This window comes from Homo sapiens, chromosome 3 (genome assembly GCF_000001405.40).
Source record: "Homo sapiens chromosome 3, GRCh38.p14 Primary Assembly".
Taxonomy (NCBI): domain Eukaryota; kingdom Metazoa; phylum Chordata; class Mammalia; order Primates; family Hominidae; genus Homo; species Homo sapiens.
This window is the reverse complement of record NC_000003.12, coordinates 183,407,737-183,430,623: the sequence shown is the minus strand read 5'-3', so window position 1 is coordinate 183,430,623 and position 22,887 is coordinate 183,407,737. Positions and strand designations below refer to the sequence as shown.

The 22,887-nt window shown below is 44.4% G+C and overlaps 1 protein-coding gene across 5 annotated transcripts in view, besides 2 other annotated features; it reads left to right on the top strand.

The window, feature by feature from the left end:
* Positions 1 to 2,004: 2,004 nt before the first annotated feature.
* The window catches only part of MCF2L2 (MCF.2 cell line derived transforming sequence-like 2), a 250,579-nt gene continuing 229,696 nt past the window's right edge, over positions 2,005 to 22,887 (top strand). For all 5 annotated transcript variants that reach the window (NM_015078.4, XM_017005943.3, XM_017005945.3 and 2 more), the window contains exon 1: positions 2,005 to 2,722. In NM_015078.4, the coding sequence (NP_055893.4) occupies positions 2,647 to 2,722 (76 nt within the window). In that variant the 5' untranslated portion in view covers positions 2,005 to 2,646. The remainder of the gene's footprint in view (positions 2,723 to 22,887) is intronic.
* Positions 2,176 to 2,255: a silencer, noted in NCBI's record as "silent region_14940". NCBI's record gives its function as "represses an Ori minimal core promoter by ATAC-STARR-seq in GM12878 lymphoblastoid cells {active_cell/tissue: GM12878}" and the evidence as "EXISTENCE:reporter gene assay evidence [ECO:0000049][PMID:35858748]".
* Positions 18,729 to 19,023: a silencer, noted in NCBI's record as "tiled region #15184; HepG2 Repressive non-DNase unmatched - State 24:Quies". NCBI's record gives its function as "represses a minimal TATA promoter and a strong SV40 promoter by Sharpr-MPRA in HepG2 cells {active_cell/tissue: HepG2}" and the evidence as "EXISTENCE:reporter gene assay evidence [ECO:0000049][PMID:27701403]".

Below are 22,887 nucleotides of genomic sequence, written 5' to 3'. Positions count from 1 at the left end.
TTTCCTCTCCTCCATTCCTTCTCTTCTTCCTTTTCATGTTTCTCACCCATAAGGACCCGGCCTAAGCCAGGAAGCTGAGGTTACTGGATCTTCAAAGTGGCTCTGACACTCCAAGTCCAACATACCCCACATCATTGTCTTCTTTACTAGGCGTTGGTTTCTGCTGACCAAAACTCACAGTTGGCTGTGACTGGGCACCAGGGTTCTGACTACTATCAGTAGGAAACATCTCATTTGGTTCCTTGAAAATTCTTGTGACCCTTGAACGCCGGAAACATAATTCAAAAGCTGCCTCCCCTCCTGCGGATCTTTAACCTTTCTTTTTTTTTTTTTTTTGAGATGGAGTCCCATTCTGTTGCCCAGGCTGGAGTGCAATGGCACGGTCTTGGCTCACTGCAACCTCCGCCTCCTAGGTTCAAGCAATTCTCCTGCCTCAGCCTCCCGAGTAGCTGGGATTACAGGTGCGTGACATCATACCCAGCTAATTTTTGTATTTTTAGTAAAATGGGGTTTCACTATGTTGGCCAGGCTGGTCTTGAATGCCTGACCTTGTGATCCGCTCGCCTTGGTCTCCCAAAGTGCTGGGATTACAGGCGTGGGCCACTACGCCCGGCCTTTTAACCCTTTTTTGAATCTCTTGCAAAAGGTGGTTGTGAAAATGGTTGCTCAGTGGCCGGGCATGATCACTTGAGTCCATGTGTTTGAGACCAGCCTGGGCAATATGGTGAAACTCCATCTCTAAAAACGAAAAAAAAAAAAAAGAAAGAAAAGAAAAAGAAAATCCTTGCTCTGTTTTGCAGGCAGAGTGCAAAGTGCCCAAACTTCACAGGGGGAAGAACCTCTCCACAAATCTCATGACACAGGTGAACTGACCTCGCTTCTCAATCACAGCCCACAATTGTTAGAGAAAGCATTAAAAAGGGCTGGGCGCGGTGGCTCACGCCTGTAATCCCAGCACTTTGGGAGGCCAAGGTGGGCGGATCACGAGGTCAGGAGATCGAGACCATCCTTGGCTAACACGGTGAAACAAACCCCATCTCTACTAAAAAATACAAAAAATTAGCCGGGCGTGGTGGCGGGCGCCTGTAGTCCCAGCTACTCGGGAGGCTGAGGCAGGAGAATGGCGTGAACCCGGGAGGCGGAGCTTGCAGTGAGCTGAGATCGCGCCATTGCACTCCAGCCTGGGCGACAGAGCCAGACTCAGTCTCCAAAAAAAAGAAGAAAAGAGAAAGCATTAAAAAAATACCCTCAGCCCCCTGTGATGGGTGGCTACTCCTAGAATTTGGATCCAGGGTGTTTGCGGCTTGGCTTTTTACATATCGAAGAGGAAAGAGATGGCTGAGAACATCCGCCTGGGTGGTCCCGCCATTCCGCCTGCTGAGTATTCAGGGACTCCCGCTGTAGAAAGGATTGGGGGACAACCTGACCGAATTCGCATTTGCTCAGGCGTTTCCCGTAGCGCTCTGCTGAACTGGGGTTAGTCTTTTGCTGCCAGTCAGAAAGTGTCTGGGCCCAACTAGGGAAACCACGGGATAATGGGCTGATGGGGAGGAGGACCAGCATGGAGGATGTGCCACAGCCCCTCCAGAAGGTAGCACTGGCGTGCCTGACAGGTGACAGACGGAGCAGAGGCAAGGGCGCAGCTGCACGAAGGAAAACGCCCACATAGGGGGTGAGCGCGCCCACGCGTGCTCAGCCTTGTCGGAGCGCAGCCCGGGCGCCGGGCTCCCAGTGCAGGTGTGGCCAGCGGAGGTCAAGAACTGCGTGGAACAACCCCAAGTGGGGGAAAACACACGCCAGCCGCCCCCGGGGTCAGGAGGTGGGGCAAGCAGCGGCGCCTCACCCAGCCTCCCGCTCCGGGTCCTGCCGGATGGCGGCAGCTCTCCGGGCCAGCCCCCTTCTCTCCGCGGCTCCTCCGCAGACACCCGGCGCGGAAGAAGGAGGGGCGGAGACCTGGCCGGCGCGCGTCTGATGATCCGGACCCCGGTGCGACTGGAGCGCCTCAGTCACTGTCTCCCCGCCCCACGGTTCCGAGTAAGGACCGGAGCTCCACTCCGGGGGTGGAGCGCGGGCTCCCCGCAGGGAAAGGTGCGCAGCGTTCCCGACCCCAAAACGAGCGGCGCTTGGGAGCGTGCGTGCCTCCCCGAGAGCCCCGGGCGCCACCCGTGGGCTGGACGAGGTGGGCGCTGGGGCGTGGGGCCGGCGGCGCAGAGAAGCCACGGCCACCTGCCGCCTCCCCTGCACCTGGCGGAGCATCCCTCACTCTACAGTCCCTGGAGGCGGCGCCGGAAACCTGGCGGCCGGGACCGCGATTCTGGAAGCCCCGGAGCTCGCCCGGCCGGAGGAGCCGGGGCGCGGTTCCGGCGAGATTGGCGACTTGCTTCCTTTTGCAGAACGGCCGCTCCTCTCTCGGTCCAGCTGCGACGCTGGGAAAGCGCCAGACTTGGTCTGTCACGGGAGCCCCCGCGGGGCGTGGCGAGGGAGAGCTGGCCTAGGCTGCGAGGGACTCTCGTTTCTTGCCTGGAGAGCCAGGAAGAGGGCGAGGGCAGAGCATCCTTGGGCGGAGATGCCTTTAAAAAATCATCCACCGCAGCGGTAGAAACAGTTTTGTTTGGCTTTATTTATACGGAATGGTTTTTCAGTGAAATGCTGTCTTGCTTAAAAGAAGAGATGCCTCCCCAGGAGCTCACCCGGCGACTGGCCACAGTGATCACTCATGTCGGTAAACGAAGCTTTAATTTTTCCTGCGTTTTATTAATGGCGGGTGAGGATGGTCTCTGGGCTTCATCTGGCTCCTGGCCTCACCCGCTGCCCCGGGGCAGCGCGCTTCCTGGGGGGTTGCCCGGCATCTGGGCCTCGCTGCTCTGGGTCCTGCCTGCGGTGCCCAGCGGGGGGCATCCCTGGGGCGCGCCGCTGGTGGGGGTCGGGGGGCCGAGGCTGGTGCCTTCACCAGGTGGTTGCCGAGTCCGTTGAGCTCCAAACCGAGGGCTGCTGGGCTGTTACCATCCGTTAGCTGCTTCTGACGGGAGTAGGGTGGGTGGGAAGTTATGTTCTGGTTTTGGGGATAGTGAGAAAGGAGAGGGCATAAGAGGAACGAATGCCAGTGCTTTTCAGCAGAAATGATTGCCACGCCACTGAAGGCTTGTTTATAAGAAAGTGCAGGGAGAGGCAGGTTACATGGGAGCGCCCCTGCGCAGCTCGGCCGCTAGGCCTGTTTTACTGTGCTGCCTGGAGGGTTAAGCACACCCCTGATGATCCCCGCGAGAAATCTCTGCAAGCCAAGGAGACTGAGCAATTTTAATCTTCTTCCCTGAGTTGAAAAGAGGAGCAAAACATGCATTGCTTGCTCCTGAAATAAGGGTTGTGATGGAACGTCAGGCCCCACAGACTAAGTAAGGGCAAGAGGACATTGAGACAGTTCCCAGTCAGTTTTTTCTTAGCACTTTCTTCCCCTTGGCCTTCCCTGGACCTCCCTCAGTAAAGACACACATTCAGGTTCAGAACCTCTGGATGTGGGCAACTGGAATTATCGGGATCATTTTCTCTGTTGCTGACTGTGCTTGGAGGTCCTCCCATGAATGCAAATCAGCTTTTATTGATAAAGCCAGGAACTATTTGCCTTGGTTTTCTACACATTTGTGAAAGCTGCTTTCTTGGTACTTGCATGTTAAATGTTGCCTCAATTAGTCCAACGTGTTTGCTGTAATAATCGTGCACATCTCAAATGATACACTTGTGAGGACATACTTTGTAAAGATGATTTATATGGGAAGGCCCAGTTTTGATAATTCAAGTTTAGAAAAAAGTTTCTGGTGCCAATTGTGGGCACTGAACTTTTACGACAAAAGATCAGTAGGATCCTACCAGGTAAGGTTGAATGTGAAATATTGCTGAAGGCAGTGTGAAATAAGAGGAAAAAGAACTTGTAATGAAACAGAATTCGGAATCTGCAATATGATGAAAGTTGAAATGATTGTGCTAAAACCCAGCACAGGCATGAAGTTGTGGTATAGAGAAAGAGCAGTGGACTCGGGGTGTGACCGTCTGGATTTGAATCTTTCCCTGGACAAGTCATTCGACCTCAGGTTGAAAAATAGGAATTTTAATAGTACTTTCCCACTCAGCTCAAAGGCTACTTGTGAAGATAAGTAAGATAATTTGGGTAGAAATACTGTGTACACTGTGATTATACAGACATTTCAGTTATTAGACATATCCCTGGTCCCTCTGTCACGCCACTAAAGATCTTTGGTGGGTTACTGGGCCTCTCTCAGGGCGAAGCCTCCCATCTGTTAAACGAGGGGTTGACCTGGATGATTTTAAAGGTCCCTCCTATTTCTCTGGAGCAGGCTCTTCTTGAAAATCTGGCAGGCAGTATTCCTTGACTAACACTTAGCTGCCTGTGGCGCCCAGGCTATGGTATTTTCTTGCCTACCTTGCTCCCTCCCTCCTTCTATAGACAGCTCCATGCAGGATACACATAGGAATTTGTTGTAGTTTCTCCTTTCAACCTCTAATGACCCTTGGCTTTTGTGTGCTTTGCAAGATTCTGTCTCCTCATACTTAATCTAATAAAACCTGTGAAATGGGTGGGGTACTCATTACTACCCCTATTTTACAAATGAAGGAATTGACTCAGAGAGGATCATCTTTTTTGTTTTTTTTTTTGAGATGGAGTTTCGCTCTTGTTGCCCAGGCTGGAGTGCAATGGTGTGATCTCGACTCACTGCAACCTCCGCCTCCCGGGTTCAAGCGATTCTCCTACCTCAGCCTCCCGAGTAGCTGGGATTACAGGCATGTGCCACCACGCCCGGCTAATTTTTTTTGTATTTTTAGTAGAGACGGGTTTCTCCATGTTGGTCAGATTGGTCTTGAACTCCTGACCTCGGGTGATCCGTCTGCCTTGGCCTTGGCCTCCCAAAGTGAGAGAGGATCATCTTTTAAGGTTTCAGGGGGAGTGAGTGGCAGGCTCAGGGCAGGAAGGTAGCTCTTCATATCCCCTACTGGGGGACCTCAAGGTGGAGCGGGCGTTTCTCTAACCCTGCAACAGCCTCAGCCTTCACGGAGGGTCACTTTGGGTAGCCAGTGGAGCTTCTCAAGGGTAGATTGGCTCTATGCTTGCCTGTTCTTTTCAGGTATTTCCTTATCAAGTAGCTTCTGAGGAGGTGATCATGAGTTGGGGAAGGTTTGAGAGGTGCTTGGAGCAAGGCTTTGGGTTGGAACATTCTCCGGGTCCTATCCTAGCCACTTGCCAGGGTAGCCACACTGTCTTCCGTATTCACTCGGCCTCCTCTGACCCTGAGTCACTTTCTCCTCCAGCAGGGGTTTCTGCTCTTTCCATGTCCCTTAGACTTGGTAATTGAGTCATCTCTCTTCACCCACTCCCATATTTCCATAAGTGTCTTGGCTGCTGTTGATTCAGTTTCAGAAACACCTCGCAGCTTTCTTTCCTCATGTCCATCCCCACTGCTGCCTGCCTCAATCCTACTTCAGGACTTCATTTCCTTTTAACTAGCCGTTGTGCAAACCTCCTGTCTCTCTGTGTCTGCCTCTGATGTATACTACGAGCCAAACAAACACGACACTCTATATTCCAAAGCCTTTAATAATACCTGCACCTAGTCATTCTCTGCAGCCTAAGATACAAGCTCTTCACTGTTTGGCCTATAAAGTTCTAGCTTTATCCCCTAATAGTTGAGATTTCTACACCTATGGTTGGACAACTTGAACTCTTCAGTTCTTTGGCTCTGTCCCATTATGTTTTCCAGACCTTTTCTCACCTCTAAGTATTTGCACTTTTACCCCCCACCTGGAATAAGTCTTTAGTATATTTCTCACAGAAATAGTACACACCTTTGAAACCCAATACAATGCCATCTCCTTCATGGTATCATTTCTGATCTTGCTGGTGGGACATGATGACTCCTGACTCTGAATTCCAAAGTAAGCTTTGTTCTGCTCGCATTGTGCCCATCATACTCTCCCCTGTATTATGGTTACTGGGTTATTCGTGCGCTTGTTTAACCTGCTCTGCTTCTAGACTCTTCATTACTTACGAAGAGTCTTATGTACCCTAGATAGCCACTTAACACAGGGCCTCACTCTAAGGAGATGCAGAATAAATGTTTGCTGAATAGATGAATGATTGTGTTTTGGAATGGAGTTGGAGTATTGAGTACCAGGCAGTTTTTACACTTTTAAGGACAGCTATAAAATATTTGTAGATAACTATTTTGTCTCCAAAACCCCATTTGAAAGTAAACATGAAGCCCTTCATGTGTTCCTCATGTGATGTGCTTCACTCTAGGGGCCTCTTTCTTTGGATTTTGTCCATTAGTCAGGAACTCTTATAAAATATGCAGTTCACATGTGAACACATGTCTAGATGTGTTTTCATCCATGCAGGACACATGTAGGACCATCCTTTCCCCTTGATTCTGGACCATAGAGTCACATTGGTTTACAGAATTTCAGTGTCAGAAAAATATTGTTTGATTTTCCTCATCCTATCCCTTTTCGGTTGTTGAAATATCTGCAAATTTGCTGTACTGCTATTTATATGTGGAGGTGTGCTGTCTAAGTAACATGGACTATCTATGAATGCATCTCAGATTGCTCTAGGATTTTGATAGACAGGGCACATATGGCTCACATGGGGGCTTCCAATAACTAGAAACCCATAGTCATCAAGATGGGCCATGTCGCCGGGCGCAGTGGCTCACACCTGTAATCCCAGCACTTTGGGAGGCCGAGGCAGGCAGATCACCTGAGGTCGGGAGTTCAGCCTGACCAACCCTGTCTCTACTAAAAATACAAAATTAGCCAGGCGTGGTGATGCATGCCTGTAATCCCAGCTACTTGGGAGGCTGAGGCAGGAGAATCGCTTGAACCCGGGAGGCGGAGGTTGCGGTGAGCTGAGATTGCGCCATTGCACTCCAGCCTGGGTGACAGAGCAAGACTGTGTCTCAAAAAAAAAAAAAAAAAAAAAAAACAAATAAAATTTAAAAAATGGTCCACGTCAGTAACTCCCCATAGAGGTTTTGCATTTCCAGCATGGCTCACTTTCCACCTTGCCCCCTCATATTAGACATAATTATTTTACATTTTGATCTTATCATTGTTCTAAAATGACTTCATATGTTTGGCTACACCCAATTAACTGTGAAGCAGAAAAGAATATCCTTTGAAACATTCCTTATATCATTGGAGATCGGATTGGTGGCTATTTTGGTGACAGAGGCTCTAGGATACTGATCTGTAACCCAGGTTGCTACTTCTGGGACACAGTCAACATTGATAACATGCAGCCAGAAAAATACTAGACTGAGAAATTCAGCCCGTGGCTCATTATTATACAATGTTGTTAGCAGCTGAAATGTCTAGAGTCCATGCCTCAGCTGTTGGTACTGAAAGAAGAGTCTAATTAGAGTAGGGTATCTGCTAATCAGGTGGGAATGTGCCCAGTGGGGATGGCTGGACATGTTCCCCCATCTGACTATATTTGGGCTATTTTTCGATTAGGCTCTGTAGACACTGTGCCTAGTGTTCACAGACTCTTCAAGGGCTACTAAAAATGTTTGAACCCTAAAAAAATTGATCGACAAATTTAAAAGTGCAAAATAAAATTTAAGAAACATTTAAATGTCTACAAAAGCTCCCTTGCCCTTACCATTTTGTCACATTTAAAAAGAAACAGTTGTGGAGTTGGAGTTCCATTTCCAGAAATGCCAGTGTGAAGAGTCCCAGGGATCCATTCCTCAGTGAAGCAACTGTACTTGGTGAAAATTATTTTAAAAGCCAGGCTTCTAAAGCCTCTGGAAGTTGTTTGAAGGGCATGCAGCAAATGAAAAAAAATACATTTATTCAAGAAAATCTACTAAATCTTGGTAATAATAGTGAGTGTCTATGGTACCTGAGCATGACCTGCTCTCATCCTCCCAGCTCCTCTCTCCTCAGCTTTTAGTCAAGGGATATAGTCCCTTGCCAGGAGGGGCAGGTGTCCAGCATTTCTCATCTTCTCTAACTCCAAGTTGCTGAGGCCAAGTTCCTGGAGAGCCTACAGCTGAGAGGTCAGGGTCTGCTTCTTTCCACCCAGCCCCCATTCATAGGACAGAAGCTTTATCCCAGGTACAGCGGGCTGAGAATACTGAGACCTGGTTGCTTTTGCCCCAGCTCCCTCATGAAATGGAGATTCAACATTGAGAGAGGCAAGCCAAGACCAGTCTACTGCCCTGGCTGAGATTTTGCCTGGAAGTAGAGACAGTCTGGAAGAATAGAGGGTTTGAAGCTCTCCCCCAAATAACTGACTTTAGCTAAAACTGAGTGTGGGAAAGCTCAAGTCTAAAGGCACTCTTGAATACAATGGAGATTTTGAGAGTAAGAAATTAAGAGGAGTCTGGTAGCTTTGTGAGAGCAACAAGCTAAACCATAGGCCAGCTTGTTTATCAGAGAGTCCTCTGAACCAGGGAAAGAGGCAACTAGAGTTATATGGAACCTAAAGATTGGCCTCAAAAACTATCTTTGCCTGAATTTAATTGAATAAGACTGGAGCAATTTTATGCCCCAGGGCATTGTTGAAAACGATAAAGCAAGCAGTAGGTAGGTGGAGTTTAACAGCTGAGTATGATATAAACAAAGGCAGACAACAGAGAGATCAGAAAGGGAGACAGGCAGTACAACTCTGTTAAACCCACACAGACTATGGGCACAACCAAAGCAACATTGTCTGAGGAGGGACATCAGTGTCTTTACACTTCAAGGGAAATATACTTCACTAAAACAGTCTAGCTATGTCACTAAACAAGCAAACAAACAAAAACAAGCCCCAGAGATGGGGAAAAGAGGAATCAGTATTCATGGTTGCTATAGTATATTACCTAAAATGTCCAGTTTTGAACCAAAATTTATGAGACCTTCAAACAAACAGGAAAGTGTGACCCTTAAATAAACAAAAAGCAGGCATCAGAAACTGCCTGTGAGAAAGCCCAGGTGTCAGATTTAGCAAAAACTTCAGTACAGCCGCAATAAATATGTTCAAAGGGGCCAGGTGTGGTGGCTTATGCCTGCAATCCCAGGCCCAGGCAGGAGGATTGCTTGAGGCCAGGAGTTCAAGACCAACCTGAGCAACATAGCAAGACCTTGTCTCTATAAAAAACGAAAATAAGTGAAATTAAAAATTTACTAGAGGAGCTTAACAGTGGATTTGAACTGGAAAAACAAAGACTCAAGGAACTGAAGATAGATTTGATAGAGATTATGCAATCTGAAGGAGAGAGAAAAATGAATAGAGCCTTAGAAAAATGTGAGACACTAGTAAGTGCACTAATATAAATGGAATGTAAAGAGAGGAGCTACAGGAGGAGCAGAAAAAGTATCAGAAGAAATAATGATTTAAAAAATTCCCCAGATTGATGAAAAACATTGTACATCAAAGAAGCTCAATGATGTTGAAGTAGGAAAAAGGTAAAGAGATCCACACCCAAACACATTATTGTAAAAATGCTGAAAGTGAAAGATGAGAAAATTTTGAAAGAAGAGAAAAATGACTCATCACATACAAAGAAACTTTAATGAGGGTAACAACCAACTCTCATCAGAGATGATAGATGACAGAAAGCAAAAAGTGCTAAAGAAAATTGTCAACCAAGAATCTTGTATTCAGCAAAACTGTCTGATATAGTTTAGCTCTGTGTCCCCACCCAAATCTCACCTTGAATTGTAATCCCCACATGTTAAGGGAGGGACCTGGTGGGGGGTGATTGGATAATGGGAGTGGTTTTTCCCCAGGCTATTCTTTTGACAGTGAGGGAGCTCTCACGGGTTCTGATGGTTTTAAAAGTGGCAGATTCCCCTGCATGAGCACTCTCTCTCCTGCTGCCTTGCGAAGATGTGCCTTACTTCCCCTTTGCCTTCTGTCACGATTATAAGTCTCCTGAGGCTTCCCCAGCCAGGCGGAACTATGAGTCAGTTAAACTTCTTTCCTTTATAAATTACCCCATTTCAGGTTGTATCTTTTTTCTTTTTTTGAGATGGAGTCTTGCTCTGTCGCCCAGGCTGGAGTGCAGTGGCGCAATTTCAGCACACTGCAACCTCCCACTCCTGGGGTTCAAGTGATTCTTCTGCCTCAGCCTCCCAATTAGCTGGGATTACAGGTGACCGCCACAACGCCCGGCTAATTTTTGTATTTTATAGAGACAGAGTTTCACCATATTGGTCAGGCTGGTCTCGAACTCCTGACCTTGTGATCCACCTGCCTTGGCCTCCCAAAGTGCTGGGATTACAGGCATGAGCCACCGCACCTGGCCAGGTTGTATCTTTATAGCAGTGTGGAAACAGACTAATACAGAGAATTGGTACTAAGAGTGGGGGTACTGCTATAAAGATAACCTGAAAATGTGGAATTGACATTGGAACTGGGTAACAGGCAGAGGTTGGAACAATTTGGAGGGCTCAGAAGAAGACCGGAAGATGTGGGAAAGTTTGGAACTTCCTAGAGACTTGTTGAATGGTTTTGACAAAAATGTTGATAATGATATGCACAATGAAGTCCAGGCTGAGGTGGTCTCAGATGGAGATGAGGAACTTATTGGGAACTGGAGTAAAGGTCACTCATGCTATACTTTAGCAAAGAAACTGGTGGCATTTTGCCCCTGCCTTAGAGATCTGTAGAACTTTGAACTTGAGAGAGATGATTTAGGGTATCTGGCAGAAGAAATTTCTAAGCAGCAAAGCATTCTTTTTCTTTTTTTTCTGAGGCAGAGTCTCACTCTGATGCCCAGGCTGGAGTGCAGTGGCACGATCTCAGCTCACTGCAACCTCTGCCCCCCAGGTTCAAGTGATTCTCGTGTTTCAGCCTCCCGAGTAGCTGGGACTACAGGTGCATGCCACCATGGCTGGCTAATTTTTGTAATTTTAGTAGAGATGGGGTTTCACCATGTTGGCCAGGCTGGTCCCAAACTCCTGACCTCAAGTGATGCACCCACGTTGGCCTCCCAAAGTGCTGGGATTACAGGCATGAGCCACTGTGCCCAGCCACAGCAAAGTATTCAAGACTTATTCTGAAAGTGTTCAGTTATATGCATTCACAAAGAGATGGTTTGAAATTGGAATTTATGTTTAAAAGGGAAGCAGAGCATAAAGGTTTGGAAATTTTGCAGCCTACCTGACCATGTGGTAGAAAAGAAAAACCCATTTTCTGGGGAGGAATTCAAGCTGGCTGCAAAGATTTGCATAAGTAATAAGGAGCTGAATGTTAATAGCCAAGATAATGGGGAAAATGTCTCCAGGGCATGCCAGAGACCTTCATGGCAGCCCCTCCCATCACAGTCCCAGAGGCCTAGGAGGAAAAGATGGTTGTATGGGCCGGGCCCAGGGGTCCACTGCTCTGTGTAGCCTTGTGACATGGTGTCCTGTGTTCCAGCCACTCCAGCTGTAGCTGTGGCTAAAAGGGGCCAAGTTACAGCTCAGGCCATTGCTTCAGAGGGTGCAAGCCCCAAGCTTTGGCAGCTTCCATGTGGTGTTGAGCCTGTAGGTGCACAGAACAAGAGGTGAGGTTTGGGAAACCTCCTAGATTTCAGAGGATGTATGGAAATGCCTGGATATCCAGGCAGAAGTCTGCTGCAGGGGCAGAGCCCTCATGGAGAATCTCTGCTAGGGCAGTGTGGAGGAGAAATAAGAGTCCCCAGTGGGGAACTGCCTAGTGAAGCTGTGAGAAGAGGGCCACCATCCTCCAGACCCCACAATGACAGATCCACCGACAGCTTGCACTGTATGCCCAGAAAAGCTGCAGGCATTCAACGCCAGCCTGTGAAAGCAGCTGCAGTGGCTGTACCCTGCAGAGCCACAGGGGCAGAGATGCCCAAGGCCTTGGGAGCCCATCCCTTGCATCAGTTTACCCTGGATGTGAGACACGAAGTCAAAGGAGATCATTTTGGATCTTTAATATTTAATGACTGTCCTATTGGATTTCAGACTTGTGTGAGGCCTGTAGCCCCTTTGTTTTTGCCAGTTTCTCTAATTTGGAATGGGAACATTTACCCAGTACCTGCACCCTCATTGTGTCTTGGAAGTAACTAATTTGCTTTTGATTTTACAGGCTCATAGGCAGAAGGGACTTGCCTTGTCTCAGATGAGACTTTGGACTTGCACTTTTGAGTTAATGCTAAAATGAGTTAAGACTTTGGGGGACTATTGGGAAGACATAATTGGTTTTGAAATGTGGAAAGGACATGAGATTTGGGAGGAGCTGGGGTGGAATAATATGGTTTGGCTCTGTGTTCCTATCCAAATCTCATCTTGAATTGGAGTCCCCACATGTTGAGGGAGGGACCTCCTGGGAGGTGATTGGATCATGGGGGTGGTTTCCTCCATGCTGTTCTCATGATAGTGGGGGAGTTCTCACAAGATCTGATGGGTTTATTTATTTATTTAATTTTTTGAGATGGAGTCTTGCTCTGTCACCCAGGCTGTAGTGGAGTGGCATGATCTCAGCTCACTGCAACCTCTGCCTCCTGGGTCCAAGTGATTCTTCTGCCTCAGCCTCCCAAGTAGCTGGGACTATAGGTGCGCACCACCACACTCAGCAAATTTTTGTATTTTTAGTAGAGATGGGGTTTTGCCATGTTGGCCAGGCTGGTCTCGAACTCCTGACCTCAGGTGATCTGCCCATCTCAGCCTCTCAGAGTGCTGAGATTACAGGCCCCGCCACAAGATTTGATGGTTTTAAAAGTGGCAGTTTCCACTGCACCCTCTCTCTCCCTTGCCACCCTGTAAACATATGCTTTGCTTCCCTTTCATCTTCCACCATGATTGTGAGTTTCCTGAGGCCTCCCTTAGCCATGTGGAACTGTGAGTCAATTTGACCTCTTTCCTTTATAAATTACCCAGTTTCGGGTAGTATCTTTATAGCAGTGTGAAAACGGACTAACATAGTATCTTTAAGAAATGAAAGCAAAATAAAGACATTCCTGGATAAACAAAAACAGATAATTAATTGCTAACAGATCTACCTTTTAAGGAATACTAAAGGAAGTTATTCAGGCTGAAAGCAAGTGATCCCAGGTGGTAATTCAAATCCATATGGAAAACAAAGAGCATCAGTAAAGATAATTATGTAATTATGTAAGACACTGTAAATGCATATTTCTTCATTCTTTTAACTGATTTGAAAAGCAATTATGTTAAACAAAAGTACAAATGGTCCCCAGCTTACAATGATTCAACTTACAACTTTTTGACTGTACAATGGGTTTATCAGGATGTAACTTCATCATAAGTTGAAGAGCTTCTTATGACTTATGATGGGGTTACAGTTTCTACTGAATGCATACAGCCATTCCTTGGCATCCAAGGGGGATTGGTTCCAGTACCCCCCAGTGTTTACCAAAATCTCTGGATGCTCAAGTCCCTTTTATAAAATGATGTAAATGATTAACCTATGCACATCCTCTTGTATACTTTAAATGATCTCTAAATTACCATTTTTTTTTTTTTTTTTTTTTTTTTTTTTTGAGACAGAGTCTCACTCTGTTGCCAGGCTGGAGTGTAGTGGTGTGGCACGATCTTGGCTCACTGCAACCTTTGACTCCCTGGTTCAAATGATTCTCCTGCCTCAGCCTCCTGAGTAGCTGGGATTACAGGCACGCCCCACCACGCCAAGCTAATTTTTAAAAAAATTTTTAGTAGAGACAGGGTTTTACCATGTTGGCCAGGATGGTCTCGATCTCCTGACCTCGTGATCCACCCGCCTCAGCCTCCCAAAGTGCTAGGATTACAGGTGTGAGCCACCACTCCCAGCCTGATCTCTAAATTACTTATAATACCTAATACAATATAAATGCTGTGTAAATAGTTGCTGTACTTTATATTTTGAATTTGTATTTTTTTATTGTTGTATTGTTTTTTATTTCTTTGAATATTTTTGATCTGCAGTTGGTTGAATTCATGGATACAGAGCCCACAGATACAGAGGGCCAATTATATTGCTTTTGCAACATTATAAAGTTGAAAAATCATAAATCAAGCCATCATAAATTAGGGATTGTCTGCTGTGTTGCCAGCATTAAGTGCATTTTTGACTTACAGTTATTTTGACCTATGATGGCTTTATCAAGACATAACCCCATTGTAAGTTGAGGAATGTCTGCATATAATGTACTGTTGGGTATATATATTCAGTAATATAATATATTTAACAAGAGCACAGGGGAGGTGGGTAGGAGAAAAGCTGCATTTGGAATAAAGAAATGACTCCAGAGGGTAGCTCAAATCCATAGGAACAAATGAAGAGAACCAGGAATAGTAAATAAGGTTAATGTTACAAACTCTATAAATATATACTTGTTCTCCTTTCTTGTCTCAGATTCTGTAATAAACATAAAGTTATATAACATAGTAATTATAACAACATATTGTTGGGTTTATAACATACGTAGATATACTATGTATAACAATAATAGCAGCAAAGTGGGAAGAAGGATTAGCACTATATAGAAGTAACATTTCTGTATCTCAAGTTTAATTAAGTTAGTATAAATCTGAAGTAGATTTTGATAAGATGTATATGAAAAACTATAGAATAACCACTAATAAAATTACTTAAAATATAATGAAAATATTATCAAAGGAATTAAAATGCTATACTAGAAATTTTTATTAATGTAAAAGAAAGCAGTAAATGAAAAAATATGAGATATAGAGAAAACAAAACATAAAATGACAGACATGGATCCCACTATATCAGTAATATTAAGTGTGAATGGATAAATGATCCAATCAAAAGGCAGAAATTGTCAGGCTAGGTTTAAAAAATAAGAGCCAACTATATAGTGTCTCCTGGAGACACACTTTATATTCAAAGATACAACTAGTATATTCAAAGATATAAAAAAGTAAAAGGATGGGAAAAGATGTATGATACAAACTGTAACTATACAAACACTGGGGTGATGATACTAATATCAGATACAGTAGACTTAAAACAAAAAAAGTCACTAGAGATACACAAGGATATTTTATAGTGATAAAAGGCTTAATCTATCACCAAGATATAATAATTACAAACGCCTAAAAATGGAGCTCCAAAATACATGAAGCAAAAACTGACAGAATTGAAAGGAGACATAGAAAATTCAACTATTGGCCGGGTGCGGTGGCTGACGCCTGTAATCCCAGCACTTTGGGAGGCCGAGGTGGGTAGATCACTTGAGGTCAGGAGTTTGAGACCAGCCTGGCCAACGTGGTGAAACCTCGTCTCTACTAAAAATACAAAAATTAGTCAGGTGTGGTGGCGGGCACCTGTAATCCCACCTACTTGGGAGGCTGAGGCAGGAGAATCGGTTGAACCTGGGAGGCAAAGATTGCAGTGAGCAGAGAGACTGCACCACTGCACTCCAGCCTGGGCAACAGAACGAGACTCCGTCTCAAAAAAAAAAAAATTCAGTTCAACTATTAAACATAATAGTTGGAAACTTCAGTATGTCACTTTCAGTAATGTGTAGAACAAACAGGCAGAAGATCAACAAGGAAATGGAAAACCTACACAACACTGTAAATCAACCAGACCCAACACAGAATACTCCATTCAACAACAGCAGAATATACATTTGGAATATTCTCAAGTGTTCCAAGGAACATGGAACATTCTCCAGGACAGACCATATTCTAGACTCTAAAACAGCCTCAATAAATGTAAAATGATTGAAATTATACAAAGTATGTTCTTTAATCAAAATGGAATAAAATTAGAAATCAACAACAGAAGGAAATGTGAAAATTCACAAAAATGTGAAAGTTAAATAGCATGCATATAAAGAGCAAATGAGTCAACAAGAACTCACAAGGGAAATACTTTAAGATGAGAGAGAATCAAGACACAGCATACTCAAACTTAGAGGATGCAATGGGAGCAATGCTGAGAGGGAAATTTATAGCTGCAAATGCTTACATTAAGAAAGAAGAAAGATCTCAAATCAATAACCCAATCTTCCACACTGAAGACACTAGGAAAAGAAAAGCAACCTAAATATAAAGTAGAAGGAAGAAAATAGTGAAGATTAGAGGAAATTAATGAAATGTAGAGTAGAAAAGCAATACAGAAAATCAACAAAATCAGAAGTTGATTAATTGAAAAAATTAACCTTTAGCTATAGAGTAACAAGAGAAAAAAGAGAAGGCGTAAATGACTTGAATGAAAGAGGGGACATTTCTACCATCCTTACATAAGCAAAAAGGCCTGTAAAGGAATAATACGAATAACTATATGCCAACAAATAAGATAACCTAGATGAAATGGACAGATTCCTAAAACTATACAAACTACCAAAAATGACTCAAGAAATAGAAAATATGAATAGACCTATAACAAGTAATGGGACTGAATTAGTAATTTTTTAAAAACTTACCCACCCGCACAAAAAAGCTCAGGACCAGATGGCTTCACATGAATTCTACCAACCATTTAAAGAAGAATTCGTACCAATTGTTCACAAACTCTTCCAAAAAATAGAAGAAGTGAGAATATTCCACAACTCATTTTATGAAGTCAGTATCACCCTAATACCAAAACTAGAGAAAAATGCAACAGGAAAGCAAACTATAGGCTAAATCTCTTATGAATATACAGTTGACCCTTGAACAACATAGGTTTGAACTGTACGGGTCCACTTATACGTGGATTTTCTTCCTCCTCTGCCACCCTGAGATAGCAAGACTAACCCCTCCTCTTCTTCCTCCTCCTCAGCCCACTTAAGGTGAAGACAACGAGGATAAAGAGCTTTATGGCGATCCACTTACACTTAATGAATAGTAAATATATTTGTAAGGAGTAATTGGAAGGACAGCCGAGAAAGGAATGAGGCCAACAGACCCAAGTTCAGGCAAGCTGATTTATTGTCAGTCCTGCTGGTCTACCTCCTGACAAAAGCAGAGGAGGCAGCCCTGCTTACAGACTACTGCAGGGCTTTACAGGGCGAGGAACTGGGTCAGGGTCAGGGAGCTGAGTTGGGGGTGCAGGCGTCTTGACCGCATCCTGGAGATATTTTTGCCAGCTTTGTTATGCGAGGTGAGCAGACATGTTAACTGCATCGTGTAACTGCCTGGACAAACAGTTACTGGAGGGGTCAGTGAAGTGGGGTTTGTCTTTAGCCCTGGGGGAGCTGTGAGGAGGTCACAAAGGACTGCATTGTAAGACCCATGGGAAGGGAGGGCAACAGCCTGGTTGGGGTGACCCTAACAATATTTTCTCTTATGATTTTCTTAAAATATTTTCTTTTCCCTAGTTTTATTATAAGAATACAGTTTATAATACATATAACATACAAAATTAGTGTTAATCAACTGTTAATGTTATTGGTAAGGCATCCAGTCAACAGTAGGCATTAGCAGTTAAGTTTTGGGGAGTCAAAAGTTATACAGGTATTTTCAACCATGAGGGAGTTTGGCACCCCAGCTCCTACATTGTTCAAAGGTCAACTATAGATACAAAAAGGCTCAACAAAGTTCTAGCACCAAATCCAGCAACATACAAAAAAGATTATACACCATGATCAAGTGGGATTTTTCCTAGGAATGTAAGGTTGGTTTAGCATCCAAAAATCAATCAATATAATACATGTATCAATAGAACAAAGGGGAAAACCCACATAAGCATCTCAGTAGAGGCAGAAAGGTCATTTGACAAGATTCAACACCCTATCTTGATAAAAAACAAACACTTCTAGGAGTAGAAGGAAGTTTCCTCAACCTGATAAAGGGTATTTATGAAAAGCCCACAGTTAACATCATAGTTAGTGCTGAATGACTGAATGCTTTCCCCCAAAGACAGGAACAAGGCAAGGATGTCCGTCCTCACCACTTCTATTCAACATTGCACTGGATGTTCTAGCCAGAGCAGTTAGGAAAAAAAATAAAAATAAAAAAAATAAAAGGCATCCAGATTGGAAAGGGAGTAAAACTATCTGTATTTGCAGATGACATGATCTTGTATATAGAAAATCCTAGGGAATCCACTAAAAATACTATTAGAGAAGGCCAGGTGTGGTGGCTCATGCCTGTAATCCCAGCACTTTGGGAGGCCGAGGTGGGTGGATCACTTGAGGTCAGGAGTTTGAGACCAGGTTGGCCAACATGGTGAAACCCCGCCTCTACTAAAAATACAAAAATCAGCTGGGTGTGGTGGCTGGCAGGTGCCTGTAATCCCAGCTACTCGGGAGGCTGAGGCAGGAGAATTGCTTTAACCTGGGAGGTGGAGGTTGCAGTGAGCTGAGATCGCACCACTGCACTCCAGCCTGGATGACAGAGGGAGACTCTGTCTCAAACAACAACAACAACAACAACAAACAAACAAACAAACAATTAGAGAAGAGCCTGCAAGTAGCTGTGAATTCCCTTTGCACTGACTCCTAGGGGCTCTACATGCTCCCATTAGTCTACTCTCACTCAGTCTTATACAATTAATTTAAAACTTCTAGGTGATTGCTTCTTATTTGCTTGTATGCATTTAAGAAAACTTATGATTTTGTAGTTTATCTGGGTTTTTGTTGTTGTTGTTGTTAGGGTAGTACTGAGCCTCCTTCTAGCATTCTGGCTTCTAGTGGAAGCAGAACATCTCCTTGGCTTTTTAACCTTCTGTGCATTTCACAGAGAAAACGTAATTCACGTACACAGCTTTCCTTCGTCATAGCATTGTCCAGCATGTTACAGAGTTTGCCATACTACCATCTTTGCAAGCGATACCAGAAAACTGGGTCTCAAAGTTTTTCTCTGTGCTTAGCCAGATGTCAAGGATCTTGAATGTTAAACAACTGTAGTTCATTTTCAAGGATGCTCAGCTTGATAAAATGCTTCCTATCATTTGTTATCCAGGAACCAACTAAGGCAAGGACCTCTGATGTCAGGGAGTCTGGGTAGCTGGCCTCTTATCAGGGCTTCCTGTACTTCTCAGCTATGGCTACAGGCCATCCTTTGTGTTCCAAAGGCTCATGTGTGTTCCCTATTAAAAAAAAAAAAAAGCTTCAAGTAGCCTAACATTTCTACAGAAATTACACTTAATTAATATAGCTAATTTAAAAATCTTTGCCAGATACTTGAAATCATTGAGGATCAAAATCGAAATGGTCCTGCTTGTTTTGGAATTTTTCTTTGAAGGGTGAGGCTGTTATCACATTGGCTCCCTTTCGGGTGTTAGTGAATATGACCCAGCCAGAGGGCCTCTGAGCCCAAATCTGGCACCATGGACCAGCTCTTCCCAAATGAGTGTAAGTGCTCTTTCTGCTGATTGTGAGAAATGGGGATTGATTGATTTTAATGAGTCTGAAAAGGAAGACTATCTCATTGTCATGGACTTGTGAAATTAAAGCACTTATTTCATACTGGCAGGCAATAATTATTATAATCAACTTAAGAGATTTTGGAATTTAACACACTGACATTACCAAAGACATGCATATGTAATTCACATTAACAAAGCCAAAAAAAAAATTAGCTCCTTTTGGAGCATCTTGCTGGTAAGTGGCAGGACCAGGATTTGAACCCAGGTGGTCTTGGCCTCAGAGTCTGAGTTCCTGACCACTGCTAGTCTGTGCTGAGTGCTCTCCAAGCTAGGGAGTATCTCACAGAACCTCAGAGCAGGAGGTCCCCCTGGGCCTCATCAGCAAGGTGCACAGTCAGGAGCTAAGACAGCTGTTCTCTCTCTGGTGTCACCTGGTCACTGTGCTCTGCTTCCCTCCTGTGTCTATACCATTCTTCTGCTTTTCTCTGCAGATCAGCTCTTTATTCAGCTGTGGATTTAGAGAGTGGCTGGATCTTGGGATGGGGGTAGAAGTCCTTGGGGAAGAGGGCTTTGGGGTGAACAGTCACCCTAAAACAAGTCTAATAACTTGGGAAGTACTGGCATTATGCTTTCAACTTTTAGAATCATTAAGAATGTAAAATACTTAGACGGTTTTACAGGCTGGCCTGGGAAAAACAGGAACCTTGCCCCATATTCAGTGTGCCACCTCCCCTGTGTGACTGCCTAGGTGCTCGGGCACCATAACTACATTAAGATGTCACTGGTCAATGAACGGATGGTATTTAGACAGCACCCACCACGACCAAGGCACTGGCCCGGGCATATGGCCCACAAGCTGTCATGGGGAGAGAATTATGGGGAATCTGAGGGCCTGAGCTCTTAACACTGGCTGAGTCACCCATGGGTCCCTGCTTTATCCAGATAACAAATGATCTGAGGGGTTTGGAGAGGACGCTTGTAGGCCACTGGACTGGAGGGGAGTTCAAGGCCCAATATGATAGTTATATTAAGAAAGACTGCAAAAAGTCACAAGTTGATGCTTGATCAATTGCCAATATAGATAGTGCTGTGAGAGTTTGGAGGCTGAAGTTATTGTGAGCTTCAGTGACTGGAAAAAGCTTCATATGAGATGTGACTTGAGCTGATCTTGAAGGAAGGAAAAGATTTAGATAGATGGAGAGGGGAAAGCTATTTAATTGGCGGGATAAGGGGAATAGCCACTTTTAGAGATTGCATTGGTCTTTCTGCACTAGTTGTCCAATTTATTGTAGTCTCTGCCTAGGCTTCCATGGTCAACAACCCTTCCTTGGACAACAAAGCTCAACAGTGAGCTTTACCTTGAAAGAAAGAATGACCTCAAGCTTGAAGGCAGACCTATGGTGTCTCACTGTTTTTCCTTCCTCATATAGATCCTTTTCTAGGAGTTAAGAGATTGGGAAAGGCTAGAGGATATGGAAATAACATTTAAAATGATGTTATTGGCTGGGTTCAGTGGCTCACGCTTGTAATCCTAGCACTTTGGGAAGCCAAGGTGGCTGGATAACCTGAGGTTAAGAGTTTGAGTCCAGCCTGACCAACATGGTGAAACCTCGCCTCTACTACAAAATACAAAAATTATCCAGGCATGGTCATGGGCACCTGTAATACCAGCTACTCAGAAGGCTGAGGCTGGAGAATCACTTGAACCCAGGAAGTGGAGGTTGCAGTGAGCTGAGATTTCACCATCGCACTCCAGCCTGGGCAACAGAGCAGAAACTCCATCTCAAAAAAAAAAAAAAAAAAAAGAAATTTTAGCTACCATTTATTTCCTGCCTTTTAGTGTCACAAGTTGTGCTTTATTATGTACATTTTTATTTAATTAAGTTTAATGGTAAGTGCAGTCTATTTATATGGAGGAGAAATTTGAGGCTTAAGCAGGTTAGGAAGCTTGCCCAAGGTCATAGCAAGAGGAAACGTCAGAATCAAAAGTCAGGTCTGGCTGGCTTTGAGGCATTTGAATGCTCACATTTGCTTTAATTTCCCATGACAAAGTGATATATAAACCAGTAAATGACAAAGTGCTATTACTGAGTTTTGAAAAATCTTTTGAAAAAATCAAATAGAAAATGAAAGCATTAATCCCTGAATCTTAAGTATTTTATGAGCCACTCGAAAAGTTGGCTTATTAATAGTCACTTTCTTCCAAAGAAAAACTGTTAGCTAAAGCTAGAGGATTTACTTTGTAGTCTTTAAACATGCAGAAATAATACATACATAATTCTTAAATAAGGATAATAAGCCTGTTAAGGAAGAAATGTTTGCCTAATTGCATTTCCCATGCTAAGCACTAGAGTCTTAAACAAACAAAAAGTCTAATAATCTAATAAAGTTATAACCTCCCATTATCATGGCAAGGTGGCAGCACCACTATGCACTTTTATTTAGTATAGAAGACTTTCTGTATTTAGAGGACTTTACTGTGAGGGAGTTATAAGTACAAACTGTATGCATGTGGACAAACTACAGGTGTTCAAAATGAGCACAGAGGCTTAGAAGAGTTGCCTCTGGATTTCTTTGTTCAGTTATTTGAACTGAACCTGTCCAGCCCAGGTTTTGGATTGTGTGTCTGTTTTTTTCTACCTATTGTTAGATCAGTTCACATTCATTTTAGCTTTCTCTTTCAATACCCTGGGAAGCTAGAATTAATTAAATTGCTGTGGGGAAAGAGGTCCTTCTGCCTGTTTCTCCTCTTTAATCCCCAATTTAAGACTAACCATATTTCATGAAGGCCTGCGGGAGCTGGGCACTGGGCCAGGTCTAAGGATGGGATATGAAGGAGTGGGGATAACCCCTGCCCATGGCCATAGGTCCCTAGGGGCCAGAACCAGGCCACCACCTCCACTGCTGCAGCCGCAGCATCCTGCGCAGCTCCTCAGGTGTAATGGGGGCCAGGAGGAATGAAGGAATGTCCTTCTGGAGCCTGCGGTCTAATGGGGAGGTAGACATTAAGCAAACATAAGACAGTATTTAGGCAAAGTTAGCCATCATTCCCAGGTCGCTCGTGGAGTCCCAAGCCTCCCCAGGGTTCTCTTTCATTGTTGGGCTGATGTTGTGGTCTCCTGGCCTCTCTACTCTGGGCTCCAGTTTTCACAGTGGCTGCCTTTCTTTTGCACTTGGTTGGTTTAGTTGTGAAATCCAGCTCTTTCTCCCAGTGTCTCAAAAATCATGCACACAGAAGATTGGGGGGGACAAGGTAATTTTCCGAAGATGGGAGAGCAAATGTTTACCGTCTAGCAACACAGACACTTTGAAATGGAGCCGGAGGCATCTTTGTGTCAAAAGTGTCCCCTGGCCACCCTAGCCCTCAGGGTTTCACAGGCCCTTACCCTCACCAATTTACTGGCACCTCCCATACCCCATAGCATCTTTCTCTTTCCTCTTTTTTCTCCCCCGCCGTGAAGAGGGTTTGGTGCAGGACCTAGACTAGAATGACAGGCCTTATGAACTCTTGCATTCTCATCCTCCTATTCTTCATTCCATTTTATTTCTATTGCAATATTTATACCTCTAGCCTTGCTTGCAAAGGAGGAACAAGCCCGCAGGCTGTGAAATGGGATTTT